At 35.3% G+C, this 21,760-nt stretch overlaps 1 protein-coding gene across 16 annotated transcripts in view; it reads left to right on the top strand.

The window, feature by feature from the left end:
* Positions 1 to 21,760, top strand: part of TMEM232 (transmembrane protein 232) — a 351,524-nt gene that overhangs the window by 280,750 nt on the left and 49,014 nt on the right. The window contains exon 16 of one of the 16 annotated variants that reach the window (XM_011543559.3): positions 1 to 21,760. This exon is cut by the window's left edge and continues 19,114 nt beyond it. The exons of the other annotated variants lie outside the window; for them this stretch is intronic. The gene's annotated coding sequence lies outside the window, so the exon portion shown is untranslated. 16 annotated transcript variants of the gene reach the window in all.

The following is a 21,760-nucleotide window of genomic DNA, read 5'->3' as shown; positions in this document are numbered from 1 at the left end:
GAAGAGAGGGAAGAAACAAAAATATCAACTTAAAATTAGCCTGCAGCCAAAATTTCCAAAATTGAATACCACAGTTTTGGTATTCAATTTTTGTTCATGTAGTTAATGAACAAAATTAACAGTTGAAAGATTAATTTGAGATGAAATAAAAGTAACAAAAGTAAAGCACTTAAATGTGCATAGGATCTTAAATATATAATTGATGAAAAAACTTTTTAATTAAATACATTATAAGTATTGGTGGAAAAACACAATTTCTATCCTTAAGGGGTTTATGATAAAGATACTATATTACATTACATATACATGAATATACATCATATATTATTATCTATGATATTTGTAGGCATGTTTATTAAAAGTTGGAATAATTCCTTCTAATATATACCAACATTTCCATCAGAAAATCTTATTTGCATTCCATTTTATCTTATAGCACCTACATTCTTTCTTAGGTGACTTCCTTCTCTTAGCATAATGCATCTGAGATTCATCCAATATGTTTTTGTACATATTGGTAATAATGCAATTAGTGTAAATTCCTTTATATTGCAGATTTAATTATATAGATATACTAGGTTTTTATTCATACATCAATTCAAGGACATTTGATTTCCAGTTTTTTTTGATGACCATATATATCACTATAAACATTTATGTAAAAGTTTTTGAACAAACAGATTTTTATTTCACCTGGCTAAATACCGAGGCGTGAAATTCTAGATTATATGGTAAGTATGTGTATAAAAAATAACCAAACTGTTTTCTAAAGTTGCTGTAACATTTGCTTTCCCATCATAAACATAAGAGAGTTCTAGTTTTCAGCACTTGGTATTGTCAGTATTTTGGTTGTTTGTTAACTGTAGCCATTCTTATAGGTTTGCAGTGGTATCTCATTGTGGTTTTAAATCTTTACTGAATGACTAATTATGTAGAACAAATTCTCTTGTACTCAGCATCCATACATCTTTATTCAGGTATCTTCTTTTGTGAAATCATTTGTTCACTTTTATCTAGCTTTTTATTAAGTTAATGTGATTTAATAGGTGTTTTTTCTTGCATAGTGAATATAAATCCTTTGTCAGAGATTTGTTTTGTAAATATTCTTATCTGTGGTATGTCTTTATAGTCTCTTAGCATTATATTTCACAGAGGAAAAGTTTTTATTCTTGATGAAGTCCAATTTATTAATTTTTAAAAATGTAATAAGTCATGCTTTTCGTATAGTAACTAAGAAATCTTGCCTAACCCAAAAAGAATTTTATTCCATTTCCTTGTAGAAGTTTTATAATTTTGGGGTTTTATTTAAGTCTATGATCTAGTTTTAGTTACTTTTTTAATCTCATGGAAGGTATGTGTCAAAGTTCCTCTTTTTTTCTTTACATATGGGAGTCCAATTGTCCCAGCACCATTTGTTTTAAGAGATCATTCTTTATCCATTGTAATTGCATTTGAACCTTGTCAAAATGCAGTTGACTGTGTATGTGCAGGTATGTTTCTCAAATCTTTTTCTGTTCCATTGATCTAATTGTCTGTCTTGAGGTCAATACCACACTCTCTGACTTTTTGTAGCTCTTTAGGCTTGAAACCAGATAGTATTTTTATTTTTTAAGATTGCTTTTGTTATTCTAGTTATTTTGCTTCTCCAAGCAAGTTCTATAATCAGTTTATCTATTACTATATAAAATCCTTCAAGATTTTGATTGTGATTATTGCATCTCTATATTAGTTTAAAAAGTATTGACATCTTCACAATATTTACTCCTTCAATTCATGAACACTGTACACCTCTTTTATTTAGATCTGTTTTGATTTCTTTTATCAATTTTTTTACTTTGTTGCATATAGATTCTTCATATTTTTCAGATTTATATGTAACATATTTTATGTTTTTGTTGTTGTATATCTTTTTATTGTAATTTCTAATTATTAAATGCTAGTGTATAGAATTACAATTGGTTTTTGTATACTGGCCTTTTATCACTAAACCTTGCTAAACTCACTAGTTCTAATGTACCTAACTAACCTCATTTTGTAGATTATTCTTCTGTAGATTCTTCTTTTATGGATTTCAAATGATTTTTAAAAGATAAACCTATGAACTTCAAATAAAGACAATTTTTATTAATGTTAAATAGAAGTGCTGAGAGCAAACATCCTTGCACTGTTCCTGATCTTAGAGGCAAAGCATTCTGCTTTCATCATTATGTAGAATGGAAGCTGTAGATTTTCATAGATCCCTTTTATCAGGTTGAGGAAGTTTTCTTCTATTCTTCATTTTCAAAGAGTTTTTATTATGAATGAATATTGAATTTTATTAAAAGCTTGTTTTTCATCTGTTGAAAGAGACCTATAACGGTTTTTCTTTTTTAGTGATGTGGTTAATTATGATTGATTTTTTCAATGTTGAAAGAGCCTTGCAGTCTTGGGATGAACCCCACTTGCTCATAATTTGTTATCCTTTTTGTGTTAATATATTAGTAGATTCGATTTGCTCTCATTTTGTTTAAAAGTTTATATCTACATGGGCCGGGTGCGGTGGCTTATGCCTGTAATCCCAGCATTTTGGGAGGCTGAGGCGGGTGGATAACGAGGTCAGGAGATTGAGACCATCCTGGCTAACACGGTGAAACCCTGTCTTTATTAAAAATACAAAAAAATTAGCCGGGCGTGGTGGCGGGCGCCTGTAGTCCCAGCTACTCGGGAGGCTGAGGCAGGAGAATGGCTTGAACGCAAGAGGTGGAGCTTGCAGTGAGCCGAGATTGCGCCACTGCACTCCAGCCTGGGCAACACAGCAAGACTCCATCTCAAAAAAAAAAAAAAAGTTTATATCTACTTTCATGAGAAATATTGTTCACTAGGTTTTTCCTGTAACATCCTTTTTTGTTTGTTTTAATATCAGGGCAGCACTGGCCTCATGAGATGAATTGCGAAATGTTACTTTCATGGAGATTTTGTAAAATTGGCATTATATCTTTCTTAAAAGTGTGGAAGAATTAATTGTTATATTCATTGTGCTTGGCATTTTTTTTCTTGGAAGGATTTAACTATGAATTGAGTTCCTTTAACATATATCAAAGTAATCATGCTATCCATTTCTTCTTGAGTAAACTTTGGTAGTTTATAGTTTATACCTTTCAAGGAATTTGCCCATTGCATCTAATTGTTTGTAATATTTTATTATGATGATTTTCATGTCTAAGTTCTGTCTTTCATTTTAATATTGATAATTTGTATTGTCTCCCTGTTTTTGGTTGGTAGGTCTGGCTAGAGGTTTATCTTTTTTTTTTTTAATCTTTACGAAGAACAAGGATTTGGTTTTCAATTACTCTATTGTTTTTTTCACTTTCATTGATTAATGCACCTCTTATCTATTATACCTCCCTTTCCTTCTAAGGGTTTAATTTGCTTTTCTTTACCAGTTTCTTAAAGTGGAGGCTTAGTTCACTGATTCAAGAGGTTTTTTTTCTAATATAAACATTTAATGTTACACACCTTCCTTTATACATTTTCCTCTAAGTATTGCTTTAACTGCATCTCCCAAATTTTGTCAGTGCTTTCATTTTCTTTTAATTTAAAATATTTTCTAATTTTTCATGTGATTTCCTGTGATTTCCTCTTTGACTCATAGGTTATTTAGAAGTGTTTTGTTTACTTCCAAATATTTAGTCATTTTCCATATATCTTTCTGTTACTTTTTTTTTTCCTTAGAGACAGAGTCTTGCTATGTTGCCCAGGCTGGAGTGCAGTGGCTATTCACAGGTGCAATTATAGTGCACTATTGCCCAGAACTCCTAGGCTCCAAAATTCCTCCTGCCTCAGCCTCATCAGTAGCCTGGGAGATGCCACTGTCCCTGACTTACTTTTCTTTAGTTTAATATTTTTTTATGGTCTTATAATTCACTTGGTGTGATTTTTTTATTTGTTTAAATTTGTTATGATTTGATTTATGGCCAGAAAATTGTCTAACTTGGTGGATATTTTATGTGTACTTGAAAATAGTTTGTATTCTGCTGTTGTTAGAATATTCTATACATGTTAATTACATAAAGTTGGTGGATAGTATTGATTCAGGCTTCTATATCCTTATTGATTTTCTGTCTGTTATATTAATTGCCAAGAGAGGATTGTTGAACTACCCAAGTATAATTACAGATTTGTCTATTTCTTTATTCAGTTACATTATTTTTTGCTTTATGTATTATCAAAAAGAGTTTTTAGGTTCACACACACTTAGAATGTTTTTCTTTTCTTAGTGAATTGATTTTTTTTATTAATCACATTGTAATGTTCTTTTTTAGCCCTGGTAATATTCCTTGTCTATATCACACTGCCTGTGGTGCTGATGTCTTATAACATTGGTCTTTTTTTTTTTTTGCTCCTGGAATTAAAACTGAACCTTAGTTTTTAATAAGTGAAATAGTAAAAGAACTCAGCAGACTGACTAAGATGACAACTCAGATGAGGTAACCAAGGTTTATACCAAAGTAGTCTGCAGCATAGTCAGGGCTAAAATTCGTACACTGGGTAATCTCTGGTTCCACCCAAACTAAAATACATCTGCTGATAAATTTGCTCTGAATAAGCACCGTACTATCAAGTTTTAAAGGTATACGTGGCTCACGCCTGTAATCCCAGCACTTTGCATGGCAGAGGCAGGCGGATCATGAGGTCCAGGAGATCAAGACCATCCTGGCCAATGTGGTGAAACTCCATCTCTACTAAAAATACAAAAATTAGCTGGACGTGGTGGAGCATGCCTGTAATCCCAGCTACTTAGGAGGCTGAGGTGAGAAAATCACTTGAACCAGGGAGTCAGAGGTTGCAGTGAGCCAAGATTGCACCACTGCACTCCAGCCTGGCGATGGAGTGAGACTCCATCTCAAAAAAATAAAATAAAATAAAATTTAAAAAAGTATGCGGTAGAAATTTAAAGTCAGATATCTTGTATCTGAGGTTCTCAGAATGGAGAATTCACTTCTCTTTGGTAACAGATTACAGGGAACGAGTAATTGTGCTGCAGCAAATTGGGCCAAAAATAAGTTATAAAGTCATTTTCTTTCTAAGATAAACATTCTCTTTCTAAGATGAAACTGTTAACAAGGAATAGCAATTATCTTCCTGGTATCACTGTCACTGTTATAACAATGTAACTCTCAGATAAAGCTACTAATAGCTCCAGTTTTTGGTGCAGTTGCTTCATGAATTAGCTATGATTTCTTAGTTTTCCAGGTACTTCAATCAGAAGCGTTCTGTTAAGCACCTCACACATTGTAAGGAGTACGTGCACACATTAATGCACAGTACTTTTACATTGTAATAGGAACTAAACCCTACCTTTCATTACTTATGTAAGAGGAATCATGAATGACAAACACGTTTGGCATAAAGTCATTAGTAGTCTGCCCTTTTATTTGTTCTTCCAATAATGTCTTTACTTCTAAACTCACTAATGTGGATAATAAAAACACTAGGCTATACATTAAGAAATTATTTTGTTGAAATATCCTTTATCCCTGACTCTTCTATTTCTTCTCATTCATATTGCTATAGGAATACTGAAATTTTTATGGCTGTCTTTTTTTAGACACATTTTAAGAATCTGCTCAGAGATAATTTGATGAAATCTATTTTTGGTCTCAGCAGGAGAATCCTAATTTGCATCTCCTCATGGGTCATCATTGCCTAAATTGATCTACACTGACCTGGTTCATTTTAAATCAATTCAGGGTTTTTCTTTGTGCACACAGAACAAACGACCTGTTCTTCACATGCTACAAAATCAATCCCAAAGAAATTTAAATGATCTGGATGGATTCTTCAAATAAAATTGTACTGTGTTTTTCTGATCAAAATTGAGAGGAGTATTGAGGTAAAACTAAAACACTGAAACGGATTAACCAACCAGGTAGACAAAAATCGTATCAGTTGTCTGTATACAAAATACATTTTACCCACCCAATATATAATTATTATTTTATTATCTGTTTACTATAAAATCAATTTATATAACATTTTGTATTTATTTTATGGACATGGAATATTTTTGGGGCAAGATGAACAATTGTTACTCTACTACAGTTGTAAAGATTGCATCTTTTAAAGTCAAGATTCTGTAGCCAGCTTTACTTTAGAAGTAAGATGGGAAAAACATTCTAAACTGAATAAGGGTCTATGGTGGTTTTCTTTGCTAGAATATGTTGAGCTATTTAGCTAGTCAACAAAAATAGTAGCTGAAACTTCTCTCAATATCTTAGCACTTGTTTTTAAACAGATTTTCTGTTAAATAAATTGGTGAACTATAAGAAAATAGTTATATTTCTTCTTGTATTTAAAAAAGATATCATACTTAAAATATATTAAATTTATTGAGCTTGTGAAATACCAAATGTATAATAAGTGATGTTCATAACTACCTATGATACTAATAAATAATAAATGCTACAAGAAAAGTAAAGGGCTATAAGAGTTTTTAGAGAGAAAGAAAGCTTCTTGCTGGAAGAAATTAGTAAATGTTTAATTGATAGCAAGGCACCTAAGTTAAACTTTAAGGGGAAAATAGGTTTTGAACATGAAAACATTAAAAAATCATTCTATTAATAGGAATAGTATAAACAAAATCATTAAAGCAAAAGATTGTGGAAATGTTATAAAAACAATGACTAGAAGATTAAGGCATTAAATGTAAAAGTTGAAGTGAAATAGGAAGACTCACAGGACAATGATGACTCTTGCAAACCAACCTAAGACTTTGAGCTTTTCTTTTTTAAGCAAAGAGATGCCATCAAAGTTTTAGAGCTGTTGAAATATTTCCTAGAATAACAGGATTCATTAAAAACAGCAACATCTAAAAGGCATATTTTCAGGGAGTATTTAGTTTCAGGCATATATTCTAGGTTCTGGAGATAAAAGAAAATATTCTTGCTCTCAAGGAATTTGGGATTTAAAGAAAGAGATAGATGCACAAACAAAATATGAATTACATGCCAATTGCTTCTGTAACACAGTTGGATACAGGGTGCTGAGGAAACAGAGAAGATGATATATCAAGGTAATAGTAGCTCCAGAAACAAGTAAGTCCTAAACTAGCAGTGTCTTGATACAATAAGCATTTATTTTGTGTTCCATCACAGCCAAATGCGGTATTCCTTCTGAGATGACCTACCATGTGGTCATTTAGTCACCCAGGTTCTTTTCTTAGTGACCCAGGATCTTTCCTTGGAGGACCTAGAGGACAGTAGCTCCACTGTCCTCTTGGAAGGCCTAGAGTAGTTCCACTGTCCTCTTGGCCTTCGAAGTCTTTTCCCTGGGTGAGGTATACATGCCTAACTAACTTAACTCAGAAGTTTCACACTTAACTCTTTTGATGAGAACTAGTAGAACTAGAAAAGTTTCCCAGCTTTGTGTCCAGGAAAGACACAATAAAGATTCTGATTAACTCATTGCAATCTCTGCCCCAAGAACACATCTAACTGTGGAGTGGGGGTGGGTACATCCAGGAGTGCTGGAAAGCACTGGTACAGTTGTATGTGGCTGTTTACATCCAGCCTCTGTTCTGATTCATTAGAATCTGCCTGACACCTGTTTTGATTCATGTCCTTCAGTTGTTAAATATTTTGATTAATTTCCACAGTTTACCTGCATTCGTGCTAAACCTGCAACAGGGAGAGTGAATCCAGGGGCTCTATTTTGACATGAATTAACTCGCAATAGTTAATAAGATTGAAAAAAAATGGAGATTTGAAGATAATGAGATAATTTAGGAGGTTATATTTCAAAAGTACAGGTGAGAGAGATGAAACCTGGACAGTAGGTAGTAGAGATGAAAAGAAAAGAAAACAAACAAACAGGCAAAATCTGAAAAAACAGCTCCAGGCAGCTATTTGGATGTGAAAAGCAAGAGACGGAGAAGAGCTAAAAAATAATTGCATTAGTCCATTCTCACACTGTTATAAAGAACTACCTGAGACTGAGTATTTTATTCAGAGGATTAATTGACTCACAGTTCCACAGACTATACAGGAAGTATGGCTGTGAGGCCTCAGGAAACTTATGATTATGGTGGAAGTGTGAAGGGGCAGCAAGCACGTTTTCACATGGCAGCAGGAGACAGAGAGGAAAGAGGGAAGTGCCACACACTTTTAACCATCAGATTTCATGAGAACTCACTATCACAATAACAAGGGGGAAATATGCGACATGATCCAATCACCTCCCTCCACGTCCCTCACCCAACATTGGGAGTTACAATTTAACATGAGATCTGAGTGGGGACACAGAGCCAAGCTGTATCAATAATCATGATAAATAAATAAATGTCAGAGATGTTGAGCCTAGGTAATTCAGAGGTTCATAGTGCTTTTACCAAAATAGAGAAAAAGGAAAAAGAACAAATTTTAGAAGAAGCCATTAGATTCTAAGCTTTTGGAAGGCATGCATCTGCTTTGTAGCTCCACAATCTGATACAGAACCGAGTATACAGTAGGTGCTCCATAGTTATTAATTTAATTAATGACTAATGAAACCAAATTACTTCAGTTTTAGATACACTGAGTTTTTAGTGTCACTAAGACACTTGTGTAGAGATGTCCAGAAAGTAATTGTGAAGGTAGAATCAGGTTAAAGAAAGGTAGTAAATAAAGCCACATAATTACAAGAAAGAATATACTGGAAAAAAAAAAAGTCTCAGCAAATAGAGAAGGAATTCTTTTAAAGGGATGATTGGACAGCTGATACAGAAACTTTAAGAGCTAAAAAGCAACCATTTTATTTCAGAATTATGGTATATGTTTCTTTTATTCATAGATGGTTTTCTTTCATTCATTCACCTTTTTTTCTTTCCGAATCGTTATGGGTATGAATATGTAACAGCATGTACCATGAAAGTACACATTGTCTATAATCCATCTTAAGATCATTGTTAATTTGGCATATTTCCTTCATGTCATTCTAGGTGTGTATTTTAAAAAGTCAATGAAGAATGTATGATTTGTTAACAGATACCATTTTTCAATATAAAATTACCCTCTTTTAACTGTTTGATGATTTTGCCTTAAATTCCACTTTGTCTGAAAATAGAATTGCAACTCTTGATAGTTTAATTTTTGGAGTTTCCTAACAATCATTTTCATTTCCTTTTTTAATATCATTTTGTTTCAACAGTCTCATGTAAGCTACATAATATTACTTTGATTTGCTTTAATTTTACTTTAGTTTTTCCTTTGCCTTCTATGGACTTCATGACAGTTTTAGTCACACTTTATATGTCTTGTGTTCCATCTTTTTGTTTTGTATTATGTCTTGTTTTTACTGTGTATTTTCTCTACTTAAAAGAGTTTTTCTTATTTTGATGTACCCCAGTGATTTGGAGCTCATATATTCTGTTTTTAATTCTTATGATTATATTTACATTTCTCAAAGAAAACCCTTCTATGTCAAAAGTTTTCAAAAGTCAATAATAAAATATGTATTTTGCATCCCTTCCTCCTTTTGATACTTTCCTCATTCCATGTGAGAGGGGGAATGTACCACATTTTTACTTCTTTTTCACTTCATCTTCTCGTATTTTAAAACTATAATATATATGTTAAGACCCATATTAATATTATTAAATTATGTTAAGCATTTGTTATTTTCTCTTTAAGCAACATTCTGTTTTTATTCAATTTTGTAACCAAATTTAAAACAATCATTTAGACTGAAATTTATGTTTAATGTAATTGAGTGTTCACTGCTAGTCTTTGTAGAACTATTGGCTAGGTGTTAGTTTCTAGAACGACATAACAGATTGTTGCTCTTAAAGGGTTTAAGGTCTAATGGCTTTCTGCCACTACTATTACTCTTTGTTATTCTCATTCTCTTTTTTGGTTAAAAGTAGTATTAAACTTTGAGTTACCTCCATTCTTAATCTCTTAGTTTAAGTACTTATGCAAAGTATAAGGAGGGTAATTTATTCTAAGTTCTTGAAAATCTAAAATTTCTTGGGAGCAAAAATTAATTATTTCATGATTTTATACTGCAAGGGAGAGATCTAAGGCAGATTTTACTTCTCTTTATATACATAAACTAATATTTGCTCATTTTTCTGTCCCAATATTTGTAGAATATTGCTTTTGTTCTTATAGTTTATTTTTTCTTTAGTATTCAGTTTTTTGAACTGGTATAGTAAGTCATTTCAATATACATATTCAAGTCATTTTTCAGCTCTATAAGTTTTCTGTGGTATCTTTGAATACTTCTTCAATGACAATTTTTGAGGGTTTTAAATTCATAATTACTGGATTTAATAACATCTTTTTATTCAATTTTAATCTCCCCTCTCTTCGTTTTCACTTTACAATTTCCTCTGAGCTTTGGAGATTATCTTGAATTGGCAATCCATATCACTGATTTATGTTTTATAATGTGTTTTCTGTTTGTCTTTAACTGCTTTTACTATGATACTTTCACTTCTGCCATGCTTCTTCATTTCAAATCTTTTTTTCCTCTGACTTTTCTATTCTTGCGACTTTCAGCCCCTATTTTATAAATATTATAACATATATCCTTTTGTGTATACCAAGTAATTTTCTGTACCTTCTTTCCAGTTCCTGCAGCAAATAATTTTTAAAAGTTTATTTTCTTCTGGATATATGGAATGATGTATCATTCTTGCCTTGCAATAATTTAGAAGTTATTTGTAGGTTTTCTTCTACTTGCCGTGTATTGAAAAGATCTCTATATAGGACTGGCATTTGTCAACAGATAAGATTTACAAATTGTGCTCGTGTCCCTCTCTATACATTTGTGTACTAGTCGAAGCCCCTACTTAGATGTGCAGCTAGGTGGCACAGTGATAACCACAGTGCCTAACCTGATTCCTAGTCTCTGGTAGGCTTTTATGCAATGTGGCTGTGCAGGAATGTAAGGAGACGGGTTTCTATTCCCTCTTCCCCTCAGTAGAAATTCATTTGTTCTAAGAGGCAATATAATGTCTACCAATCAACTTTCTTTGATTTCCTTTTAAAATCATTTTGTGTGACCTGCAAAAGCTAATTATAAATATATATATATACACATATATATGTATGTGTATATATATATTTATTTATGCATATATATGTGTATATATGGCAAAATTAGTACCTATGTTCCTGGTGCCTGTCTCACTTTGGGAGCACAGTTACAGAGGGAGGTCTGCCTGCTTTCATATGAGCATTTTCACCTATTTTTATTTAAAGAGTACGAGGGTCCTCAATTCCATTTTAAACTCTAGCTTTACTGACTCAGGTTACTAAAGATCACCACATAGAACATATAGATTCTGGGTTATACCCAGAATTTTTTCAGGATCCTTAACCATATTTAAATGAATGAGAATGAGAGTGCTATTATAGGGATGCAGCAAACCCAACATAGCAGATTTCAAAAGAATGAATATTCTCCAGACTTTGTCCCTATCTATTATTAGCAATAAATAATTTCTAATGTACCTCACAATTATGGAAGTAAGCCAGCCTGTCAAGACTTCACAGTTAAGAACTTATGGAATAAAACAGTGGTGGGATATTAACATTTAGGGATTCTTAGTGGTTTAGACTGAAGCCTAAAGTCTTACACCATTATATCTTCTAACTAGCAACAGTGGAGTCACTCAGAGGCTGAAAACAGAGGAAAAAGAATGTGGTCTCTTATATACCCCTGTTTCCCCAACCCCAAATCTGTATAGTTGCTATGGCAAGCAATTGCTTCTCTGGTAAGGCAACTCTTCCAATCTTTCATAATCGCTGCCACCATTCTATTCCAGTAGGTCCAGAAATGGTCCAATATCTCTAAGTATTTCTTGTTTAATCTGCACAGCTGTCAGAATAATTTTGAAACAGAATTCTGATCATTTCATTTTACTACTTAAAAACCTTCAAAGACAGCAAGTATGTTGTACTGAATGAAGGTAAAGACTTCATATGGAACACTCAGATTCAGAGCCCCTACTCTGTGTCTCTGTCACTTCCACATTCACTCCTGCCCTACTCTCCTTAAAGGTCAGAGGCCAGTGACACATCCCAGGCAGGAGATTCTCTGATGTCTTTGTCCTGGACAAGAAAAAAGGCCTATAGATACTGACATTAGAGAGTTCTGCCAAGGAAATGGCTTCACCCCTATGGAAGGCAGCCTCTAAGATGGCCTCCGGTGATCCTAGCCTCTGATATCTCTGTTCCTGTGTAATCTCTTTCTTTGAATGTGACCTGGACTTAGTGATTCATTTCTAATGAATAGAATATGGCAGAAGTGATGAGATACCACTTCCAAAGCTAGGTTGCAAAAAGATTGTAATTTCTCTCTTAGGGACTTTAACTTTCTCATTCACTCACTCCTCTGAAATAAACCAATTGTCATGTTGAGCTGCTCTGATGAGAAGCTCAAATGGCAAAAAAAGTCATGTCTTTGATCGCCAGCCAGCAAAAACATGAGGCATGTCAATAATCATGTGAATTAGCTTGTAAGTGACTCTTCCCATAGTTGAACTTTGATGTGTCCGAAGCCTCTGACAACATCCTGACTTCAACCTTTGGAGAGACCCTGTGCCAGAGACCATGGCCCAAAAACCTGAAATGGTAAATGTTTTTTGTTTTAAGTTGTTAATTATGGGGTAATTTGTTATGCAGCAATATATAACTAATATAGTCACTACCCAGCCACTCCTGACGAAGGCCATTATTCAACATGCCCCAGAAACCCATAGACTCCAATTGACTTTGTATTATTTTGTTCTTAAACATAAATAACTGAGAAAAAGAGCATGAGGAAAATTTGGTGGGGTTGTGGGGAATGTGATGGTTATGTTCATTTCCTTGAATGTAATAATGGCTTCATAGGCATATATATGTCATAAATATTAAGTTATATATTTTAAACATATGTAATTTATTATGTGTTAATTAGAGCTCAACAAAGCTGTTAAAATATTAATAGAGAGATAAGACTCATCAAATATTTGAAAAACAAAAGACTCCAACATAATAGACAGGGATCCAAATGAATAAAATGTAGAAGGCAATCAGAAAATTTTGAAACAGTGCAGAAAAAGAAGAAAAAAATGTCCAAAAAAACTCTAAAATTATTATTTTCTAAGAAATAAATGAAAAATTTTTCAGCCATGGAAAATGAGGGCTATAGAAAAGAATAGTATATGAATAAGAAAGAAAGAGTTCCTAGACATTAAAAACACAATAGTGGAAGTTGAAAATTCAGCAGAAGGTTTAGAAGATAAAATTGAAGAAATTTCCCAGCAAGTAAAATAAAGACAAAGAGGAGGAAAATGGGAAAAAGAAGATAACAAAATGAGAGGTATAGTCCAGACATCTACATTAGAATTAAGGGAATTTCAGAAAAAATAAGAAGCAAAGAGGCTTACTTATCAATTAATTTATTTTCTAATTTGAAGAACTAAATACAAATTTACACATTTAAATGGTCCAAATTGTGCTCAAAAATAAATTTTAAAAGACCAACTATAAGGCACTTTGTATTAGTTATCCAATGCTATGTAACAAATGACCACAAAACGTGGCAACTAAAAACAACATTTAAGGGGTAGAGCAAGATGGCAGAATAGAAGCCTACACTGTTCACCATCCCCCACAGGAACACCAAAGTTAAACAACTGTCACGGAAAAGCATCATCACAAGAACCATAGTACTTGATTTTAAATTCCTGTCACTGAAAGAGGCATTAAAGAAGGCAGGAGAGACAGTCTTGAATTGCTGACAGCATCCCTTCCCAACCCCCCAGCTGTGGCTACATGGTACAGAGTCTGTGCACTTGGGGGAGGGAGAGCTCAGTGACTGGGGGACTTTAGGTTGAACTCGGTGCAGCCCTGTCACAGTGGAGAGCAAAGTCATACTCAGCCAGCGCCCACACAGGGAAGGAGAATTTGGATCAGCCCTAGCCAAAGGGAAATCACTCATCTCAGAGGTAAGAACAAACCTTGTCATCAGGGGCTGAAGTGCTCTAGGGTCCGAGGTAAACTTGAAAGGCAGTCTAGGACACAAGGACTACAATTCCTAGGTATCTCCTTGTTCTGGGCTAGGCTCAGAGCCAGTGAACTAGGGTGGCACATGACCTAAGGAGATACCAGCCAGGGCAGCGAAGGGAGTGCTTGCATCACCCCTTCCCCAACCCCAGGCAGCACATCTCTCAAACAAAAGCAATTCCTTCCTTCTATTTAAGAAGAAGAGAGCAATAAGTAAAGAGGAATTTGTCTAGCATCTTGCATACCAGCTCAGCCACAGTAGCACAGGGTACTGGGCAGAGTCATGAGACTCCCATTCGAGGCCCTAGCCCATGATGACATTTCTACACACATCCTTGGCCAAAAGTCACTCCACTGCCTTGAAAGGAAGGACCCAGTCCTGGCAGGATTAATCACCTGCTTACTAAAGAGCCATTGGGGCCTGAATAACCAGTAGTGATATCCAGGTAGTACGCCGTAGGCTGTTGGCTCTGAGATAAGTTGACTTCAGATGTGACCCAGAACACTCCCAGCTGTGGTGGCTATGCTGAAAGACTCCTTCTGTTTGAGAAAAGCAGAGGGAAAGGTGATGAGGACTTTGTTTTGCACCTTAGGTACCAGCTTGGCAACAGTGGTGTAGAGTAACAAACAGGCTCTTGGTGTCCCCAAGTCCAGACCTAGGCTATTGGACAGCATTTATGGGCTTGTCCTGGGCCAGAGGGGAGCCCAATACTGCACTGAGAGGTGAGTCCTAGGCGTGGGATAATTCACCACAAGCTGACTGAAAAGCCCTTGGTCTTTACATCAACATCAGTGGTGGCCTGGCAGAATTCCCCATGGGCCAGTGGTATTAGTGGCCACAAGGAGAGGCTCCTAAGCCTGTGGAAAGAGAGGGAAAGAACAGGAAGGATTTTGCATTGTAGTTTGAGTGCCAGCTTGGCCACAGTAGAATAGAACATCGGTAAACTTCTAAGGTTTTTTGCTGCAATCCCTGGCTTCCAGAGAGCATCTCTGGACCTTCCCAGGAGCGGGGGGAGCACAATGTCCTGAAGGGAAGGACACAAACCTGGCTGACATTACCACTTGCTGATCATAGAGCCCCACGGCCTTGAATGAACATAGGTGGTAGCCAGGCAGCGGTTACAGTATGCCTTGGGTGGGACCCAGTGCTGTGCTGACATCAGGTTGACCCAGCATAGTCCCAGTGGTGGTGAACACAAGGGTGCCTATATTACCACACCCCTGGTTCCAGGTGCCTTAGCACAGAGAGAGAGCCTCCATTTGTTGGGAAGAAAGTAAGGAGAAAAGACAAGAATCAGGCTGGTAATCCAGAGGTCATCTGGATTTTATCTAAGACAATCAAGGAGGTGCTTTTACAGGTCTAGAAAAATCACAGTGCTATTGGGCTTGGGATTCAAATCCCTTTGAATACCTGGAAAGCCTTCTCCAGAAGGATGACCACAAGAAAGCCCAGACTGTGAAGAATACAATAAATACCCAACTTTTCAATGCCCAGACACCAGTGAACATCTACAAGCATAAAGACCATCCAGGAAACTGTGACTTCAGCAAACAAACTAAATAAGTTACCAAGGACAAATTCTGAAGAAACAGAGGTATGTGACCTTTCAGACAGAGAACTAAAAATAGCTGTGCTGAGGAACTCAAAGAAATTCAAGATAACACAGAGAAGGAATTCAGAATTCTATCAGATAAGTTTAACAAAAAGATTGAAATTATTTTTTTAAATCAAGCAGAGATTCTGGAGTTGATCAATTCACATACTGAAGAATGCATCAGAGTCTCTTAATAGCAGAACTGATCAAGCAGAAGAAAGAATTAGTGAGCTTGAAAACAGACTATTTGAAAATCAGTGATGAGAGGATATGAAAGAAAAAAAGAATAAAAGGGAATGAGTATCTACCTACAAGATGTAGAAAATAACCTCGAAAGGGGAAATCTAAGAGTTATTGGCCTTAAAGAGAAAGTAGAAAAAGAGATAGGGGTAGAAAGTATATTCAAAGAGATATATCATAGAACTTCCCAAACCTAGAGAAGATATCAACATTCAAGTAAAAGAAGGTAATAGAGCACCAAGAGATTTAACCCAAAGAAGACTTCCTCAAGGCATTTAATAAACAAACTCCTGAAGGTCAAGGATAATGAAAGTGTCCTAAAAGCAGCAGGAGAGAAGAAGCCACATACATGGAGCTCCAATACCTCTGGCAACAGACTTTTCAGTGGAAACCTTACAGGCCAGGAGAGAGTGGCATGACATGTTTAAAGTGCTAAAGGAAAAAAAAAACTAATAATAACCTTTTACTCTAGAATAGTATATCTAGTGAAAATATCCTTCAAACATGGAGGAAAAATGAGGACCATCCCAGTAAAACTGGGGTGGTTATTTAGTTAGTTATAAATTTAGTTATTTGTAAACTGTTAGACTGAGAACCTTAGCACCTCTCTGGCTGTTAGCCAAAGTCCATCCTCATTCCATTGCTTGTAGGCTTCTCCAGTAAGGCAACTCAATTTATCACAGCATAAAAGCCAAGAATTAAGAGTTAGCTAGTAAGACAGAAGTCACAATTATAGAAACGCTATATCATCATCTTTGTCATAGTCTGTAGTCTTCTAACAATTAGGTTAGAAGCAAGTCCTTAGGCCAGCCCATACTCAGGGAAAAGGACTTACACAAGGGCATGAGTTCTAGGAGGCAGGGATTATTGGTGCCATCATGGAAATCTGTCTCCCCGCACTTCACTGTGAACATGGAAGAACTAGGAAAAAGGAAACTTGAAACTTCCTGAGACAGAGAACATTAGCAATCATATAACATTTCATGTGTTTCTTAACTTTTCCTGGAAGATTTCCTTGCAATTATGTTAGGGTAGTGCTTCTCAACCATGGGTAATTTTGTCTCTCAAGGGACCTTGTCAATAGAAATCTTCGATTATCATAGTAGGGGATGTTACTGACATCTAGTGGGCAGAGGCCAGAGCTATTGCTAAATGTCTCACAAGGTACAGGACAACCCCCACAGCAAAGCAGTATCTAAGCCCAAATATCAATATGGTCAAGATCCAGAAACCCTGGATCCAGAGACTTGCATTTTTTGGCAAGAACCATGAACAGAAGTGACATACCTGCGTCAAAGCAGTTAGGAGCCACTGAGTCTTCTCCACATCTTCCTTCCTCAGTCAAAATGACCTTGAAAGCCACATGTTGAGATGGCAGTATTAAAACATGGAAAGAGCCTAGATTCCTAGGTCATCAGATGGAGGCAAGCTTCTATTGAACTGCATCGGACATGTGAGCAAGAAGCAAACATATGCTTTGTTGAGATTTCAGCATTTGTCTGTTGAGAAAATTAGCAATAAATAAGTGGATGAAACTATACACGCCTGAAAATCAGGATGGCATTGGACTCAAAAGCAGCACCAGAGGCAAGAAGATAGTGCGTAGGTTGCCTCAATACACTGAGGAAAAGTAACATCCACTATAGAATTATAAATATGCCTAGTTCTTCAAATATATTTGGTTCATAGCATTTGGAAAATAGAAAACATTTCATACAAAAATTTTTTTCAGAATCTATTCTCTTCTTCAAATTGAGTAGTAAGAGTTGAGATAACAAATGATACTTGAATATATGTCTGCCCCCAATCTATCAAATATGAGGGTAGAATAAAGACATTTTCAAATATCTTTCCATATTTGAAATATCATTTCAAATATCAAAAGGTTTCAGATTGTGTACTGTCTATTCACCATGTCTTAAGAAGCTTCTTAAGAATATATGCCCCCAGATGAAGGGGATAAATCAAGGAAAAAGAACATAGTGGCGTACAGAAAGCAGTGATCCTAACAGAGAACAGAGGTGAGAACGGAGTATTTCCAGCAGAATGGCAACACAGCAGGCTTAGGGAGCAACCAGTTTCAATTGGTGTAAGAAGACACTTAAGCAACATATTAAAAATAGAAGTTACACTTGTTCTCCACCAACCTTATCTCTTAAAGGACACTTTGATACATCTACTCACTTAAGTCATATGCATCATTATTCCCACTAGCTTTATACTAACTCCTACTCATCTTTCCAGATTTATTTCTGAGGTATTCTGGAGCCAATCCTCTGCCTGGGGGCACATTATGTTTTCTCCTACTTTGTGAAACCATTTGCATAACAAAATTTTACTGTGTCATTTGGCATGTCTTTTACATCAGTCACATCACAGTCCTGTTGTGATAACCACACAGATTAATATCTGCTATGGCATTGATGAAAAGACGTTGATCCTAATTTATAGGTTAATATAGAGAATTTTAGATAAACTGCAGTAGACAATGATTCTGTAATGCTAGGGTGACAGCAGATCATTCTTGGCCCAGGACTATAAAATTCTGTGTCTGCGAATGGGGCAGGAATTGCTTCGGTGGAACATAGCCACTGGGTATTTTGACTCCGTGAATTGAAAAAGAATTAAAATGCAAAAAGTCTTGACTTTTTGAGTTTCTTAGTTGCTTTGCCAGTCTCTATACAATCTGAAAGCGACACCTGAAACTTTCCAACAGGAACTGTATATGGAAACCACCAGATCAAAAGACAGGCTGGCAAGGAAAAGCGAGACTGAAACTGTAGAAGCTAGTGTCTGAGACAGAGCCCCTTGGGATGGGATCACTAGGAATGGCAGAAGCCCAAGGACCCTGGAGCCTGCCCTTGACTGGCAGTTCTTCATGCCAAGCAGAAATGGGATAATTGCCCAGGCTGTAGATGTTGGAGGGGTGACATCAGAACAATATTTTAACTCTCAGTGAGCAGACTGCATCTCTAGAATGTTTTAAAATACAAGGAACTATAAAACGAGATTAATTAAATAGTTACAATATATTTTTAATGTGGGAGTAGGTAATGGCAAAAATAATAGTCAAGTTGAGAGCAAGTTCTTTACTAACTTCCCTTTAAAAAGTAGCCAAGGAAACTGTTTCAGTGTTAGATTTTTTTTAACTTTGTATAACTTTCTTGTAAATATTTGTGCTTTAAATCTTGTGCTTTATAGGCAGCTGTAATCTTGAGGCTTTGTGATTTGGGCAAGCTAATGAGGGTTAAAGACAGTAAATCTAATGTTTGAACTATAGTCAGGTATGACTTATTACTTGTACCAATCAGTCCTCCAAAACAGAAAATCAGAATTATTCAATTGAGATAAAAATATCTTATTTATGTGCCCAGAAAATTATCTATTTTTTAACCTCCTGCTTTAAGATGCATAAGAGAATACATCTGACCAGGTGGAGTTCTGAGTGTGAAAGTTATAGTTAAATGAGTCTCTAAGGATTTGAAAACTTTTAGTTTCCAGGATGATCCATGGTTTCTAAGAATACTGAAATGAAATGGAATTGGGAGAAATACTACCGAAGAATTAGATGGCTCTACTTCAGATCTAATTTTGTTAATGATAAACTGTCGTTTTTGAACTGAGTTGTAGGGGAGGAACTGACGACATATTCAGGGACTTTGAAAGCCTTGGAATAGTTCTGGTCCGTTTGAATTCTGACTTCTGGTCTTGGTTTCTGCAAATTCTGCTTGCGGAAAGTAAATGCATGATAGGAAAGGGGTTGTTTTTCTTTTCCCTTACCACCCTAGTAAAATATGGATAAATAATATAGAAAATAAAAGAACCTTATAGAAAGTAGCGTGACATTAGATGAACAATGTTAAGTGGAGGGCAAATCTATTTTCTTAATGAAAAAAAGCATCACAATTTGTTAGTAATCTCTGCACTCAGATCATGAGAATGGAGAGGTAATTTAAGTGGCCCTTCGCTGGGACCTGGAGAGGCAGAGCCAAGTTAGGCCTTAAAGCCACAGGTAGGTTTTGCCCCTCTATATTTCTGAGCAGACACAGCCCAAACCTGACCAAGCTGAAGGAAGGCAGAGGAATATGATGTAGTGTCAAACCCAGTTGGTATAGGAGAAAAAAAGCCTAAGAAAAGGGAAGATGAGAAAGCAGGTTTGGAGTTGAATTTACTCAAAATACTGAATGCCCAAAAGGGAAAAAAACAGACCTCTGCCTTGAGGCACACTGAGGTGAGATCAAGTTCCTTGGTGTCCCCAGCCTGTGAGGCCGGAAACCTTAATACAAGAAATGTTAGAAAGCCTGGGGATGGGGCCACACAGTAGCTTCAGATAGTACTGCTGCCTGGCTAAACAGAGATGCTACCTTATCCACTGAAAACCTTCAGGACTACCAGCCTCTTAGTAGATAGTTTATTAAATTCTTTGGGATAGTTTGAGTAATAGCACCTGAGATATTCCTTAGGCAATTAATATTGGCCCTATCTAGGTACAAGAAGCAAGCCCAATATATGGCCAGCCTGATTGGATTTTGTCATAACTGTATTTTACACTTAAAGATCTTATTCTTCGTATTCATCAAATTACCTATACAAAAGTGCCTTTGTAGCTCTTGTTCTTGGTAATTATGCAGTTATTATAGAAGGAAAACTGGTGCTTCATAACATTTAATTCATACTAAAATATGCTTCTTACCTATGTTTTTCTTTTTAATTGTTAACTGTGTAATATATATGAAGTATATAATATGCATGTACTAGTAGTAATGATAATAATATAATAAAACTAGCACCAAAGTTCTCACCACTCAGATTAAGAAATAAGTATTACTGAAACTGGAAACTCTTTTCATATCCTTCCCTAATCACTTGGCTCTCCCTTCCTTACAGAAGGAACAACTATCTTGAAATGTTTAATTCATTTTGTTGCTTTTCTTTATAGCCTTTCATAAATATATGCATCTTTAAAATTGTATTTTTTATATTGTTTTGAATATTTATAAATAAAATTACACTGTATGTTTTTTTCTATAATTTTGTTTTAGATCCAGATTTAGATTACATGTGGAGGCTTGTTACATGGGTATACTGCATTTCTATATGCCAGCAATGAACAATCTGAAAAATATATCAATAAAGCAATCCCATTAATAATAGCTACAAATAAAATTAAATACATAGGAATTAACCAAAGAAGTAAAAGATTTCTGCAATGAACACTATAAAACACTGATGAAAGAAATTGAAAAAGACACAAAAAATGAAAAGATATTTCATGTTCATGGATTGGAAGAATTAATATTGTTAAAACATCCATACTACCCAAAGCAGTCTACAGATCAGTGCAATCCCTATGAGTATACCAATGACATTCTTCACAGAAATATGAAAAAAAATTCTAAAGTTTATATAGAATCACAAAGTCCCAGAATAGCCAAAGCCATCCTGAGCAAAAGGAACAAAACTCGAGGAATAACATTACCTGACTTCAAATTATACTACAGAGCTATAGTAACCAAAAAAGCATGGTACTGTCATAAAAACAAACAGACCAATGGAACAGAGTAGAGAGCCCAGAAACAAATCCACATAGCTACAGTGAACTCATTTTCAATAAAGATGCCAGGAATACGTTGGGGGAAAAGACACTCTCTTCAATAAATGGTGCTGGGAAAACTGGATATCCATATACAGAAGAATGAAACTTGATCCCTATCTCTTGCCTTATGCAAAAATCAAATCAAAATGGATTAAAGACTTAAGTCTAGTACCTCAAACTATGAAATTACTAACAGAAAACATTGAGGAAACTCTCCAGTACATTGGTCTAGGGAAAAATTTATTGAGTGATACTTCACAAGCACAGGCAACCAAAGGAAATGTGGACAAATGGGATCATATAAAGTTTAAAAACTT

This window comes from Homo sapiens, chromosome 5, assembly GCF_000001405.40.
Source record: "Homo sapiens chromosome 5, GRCh38.p14 Primary Assembly".
NCBI lineage: Eukaryota > Metazoa > Chordata > Mammalia > Primates > Hominidae > Homo > Homo sapiens.
This window is presented reverse-complemented; position numbering and strand designations above follow the sequence as displayed.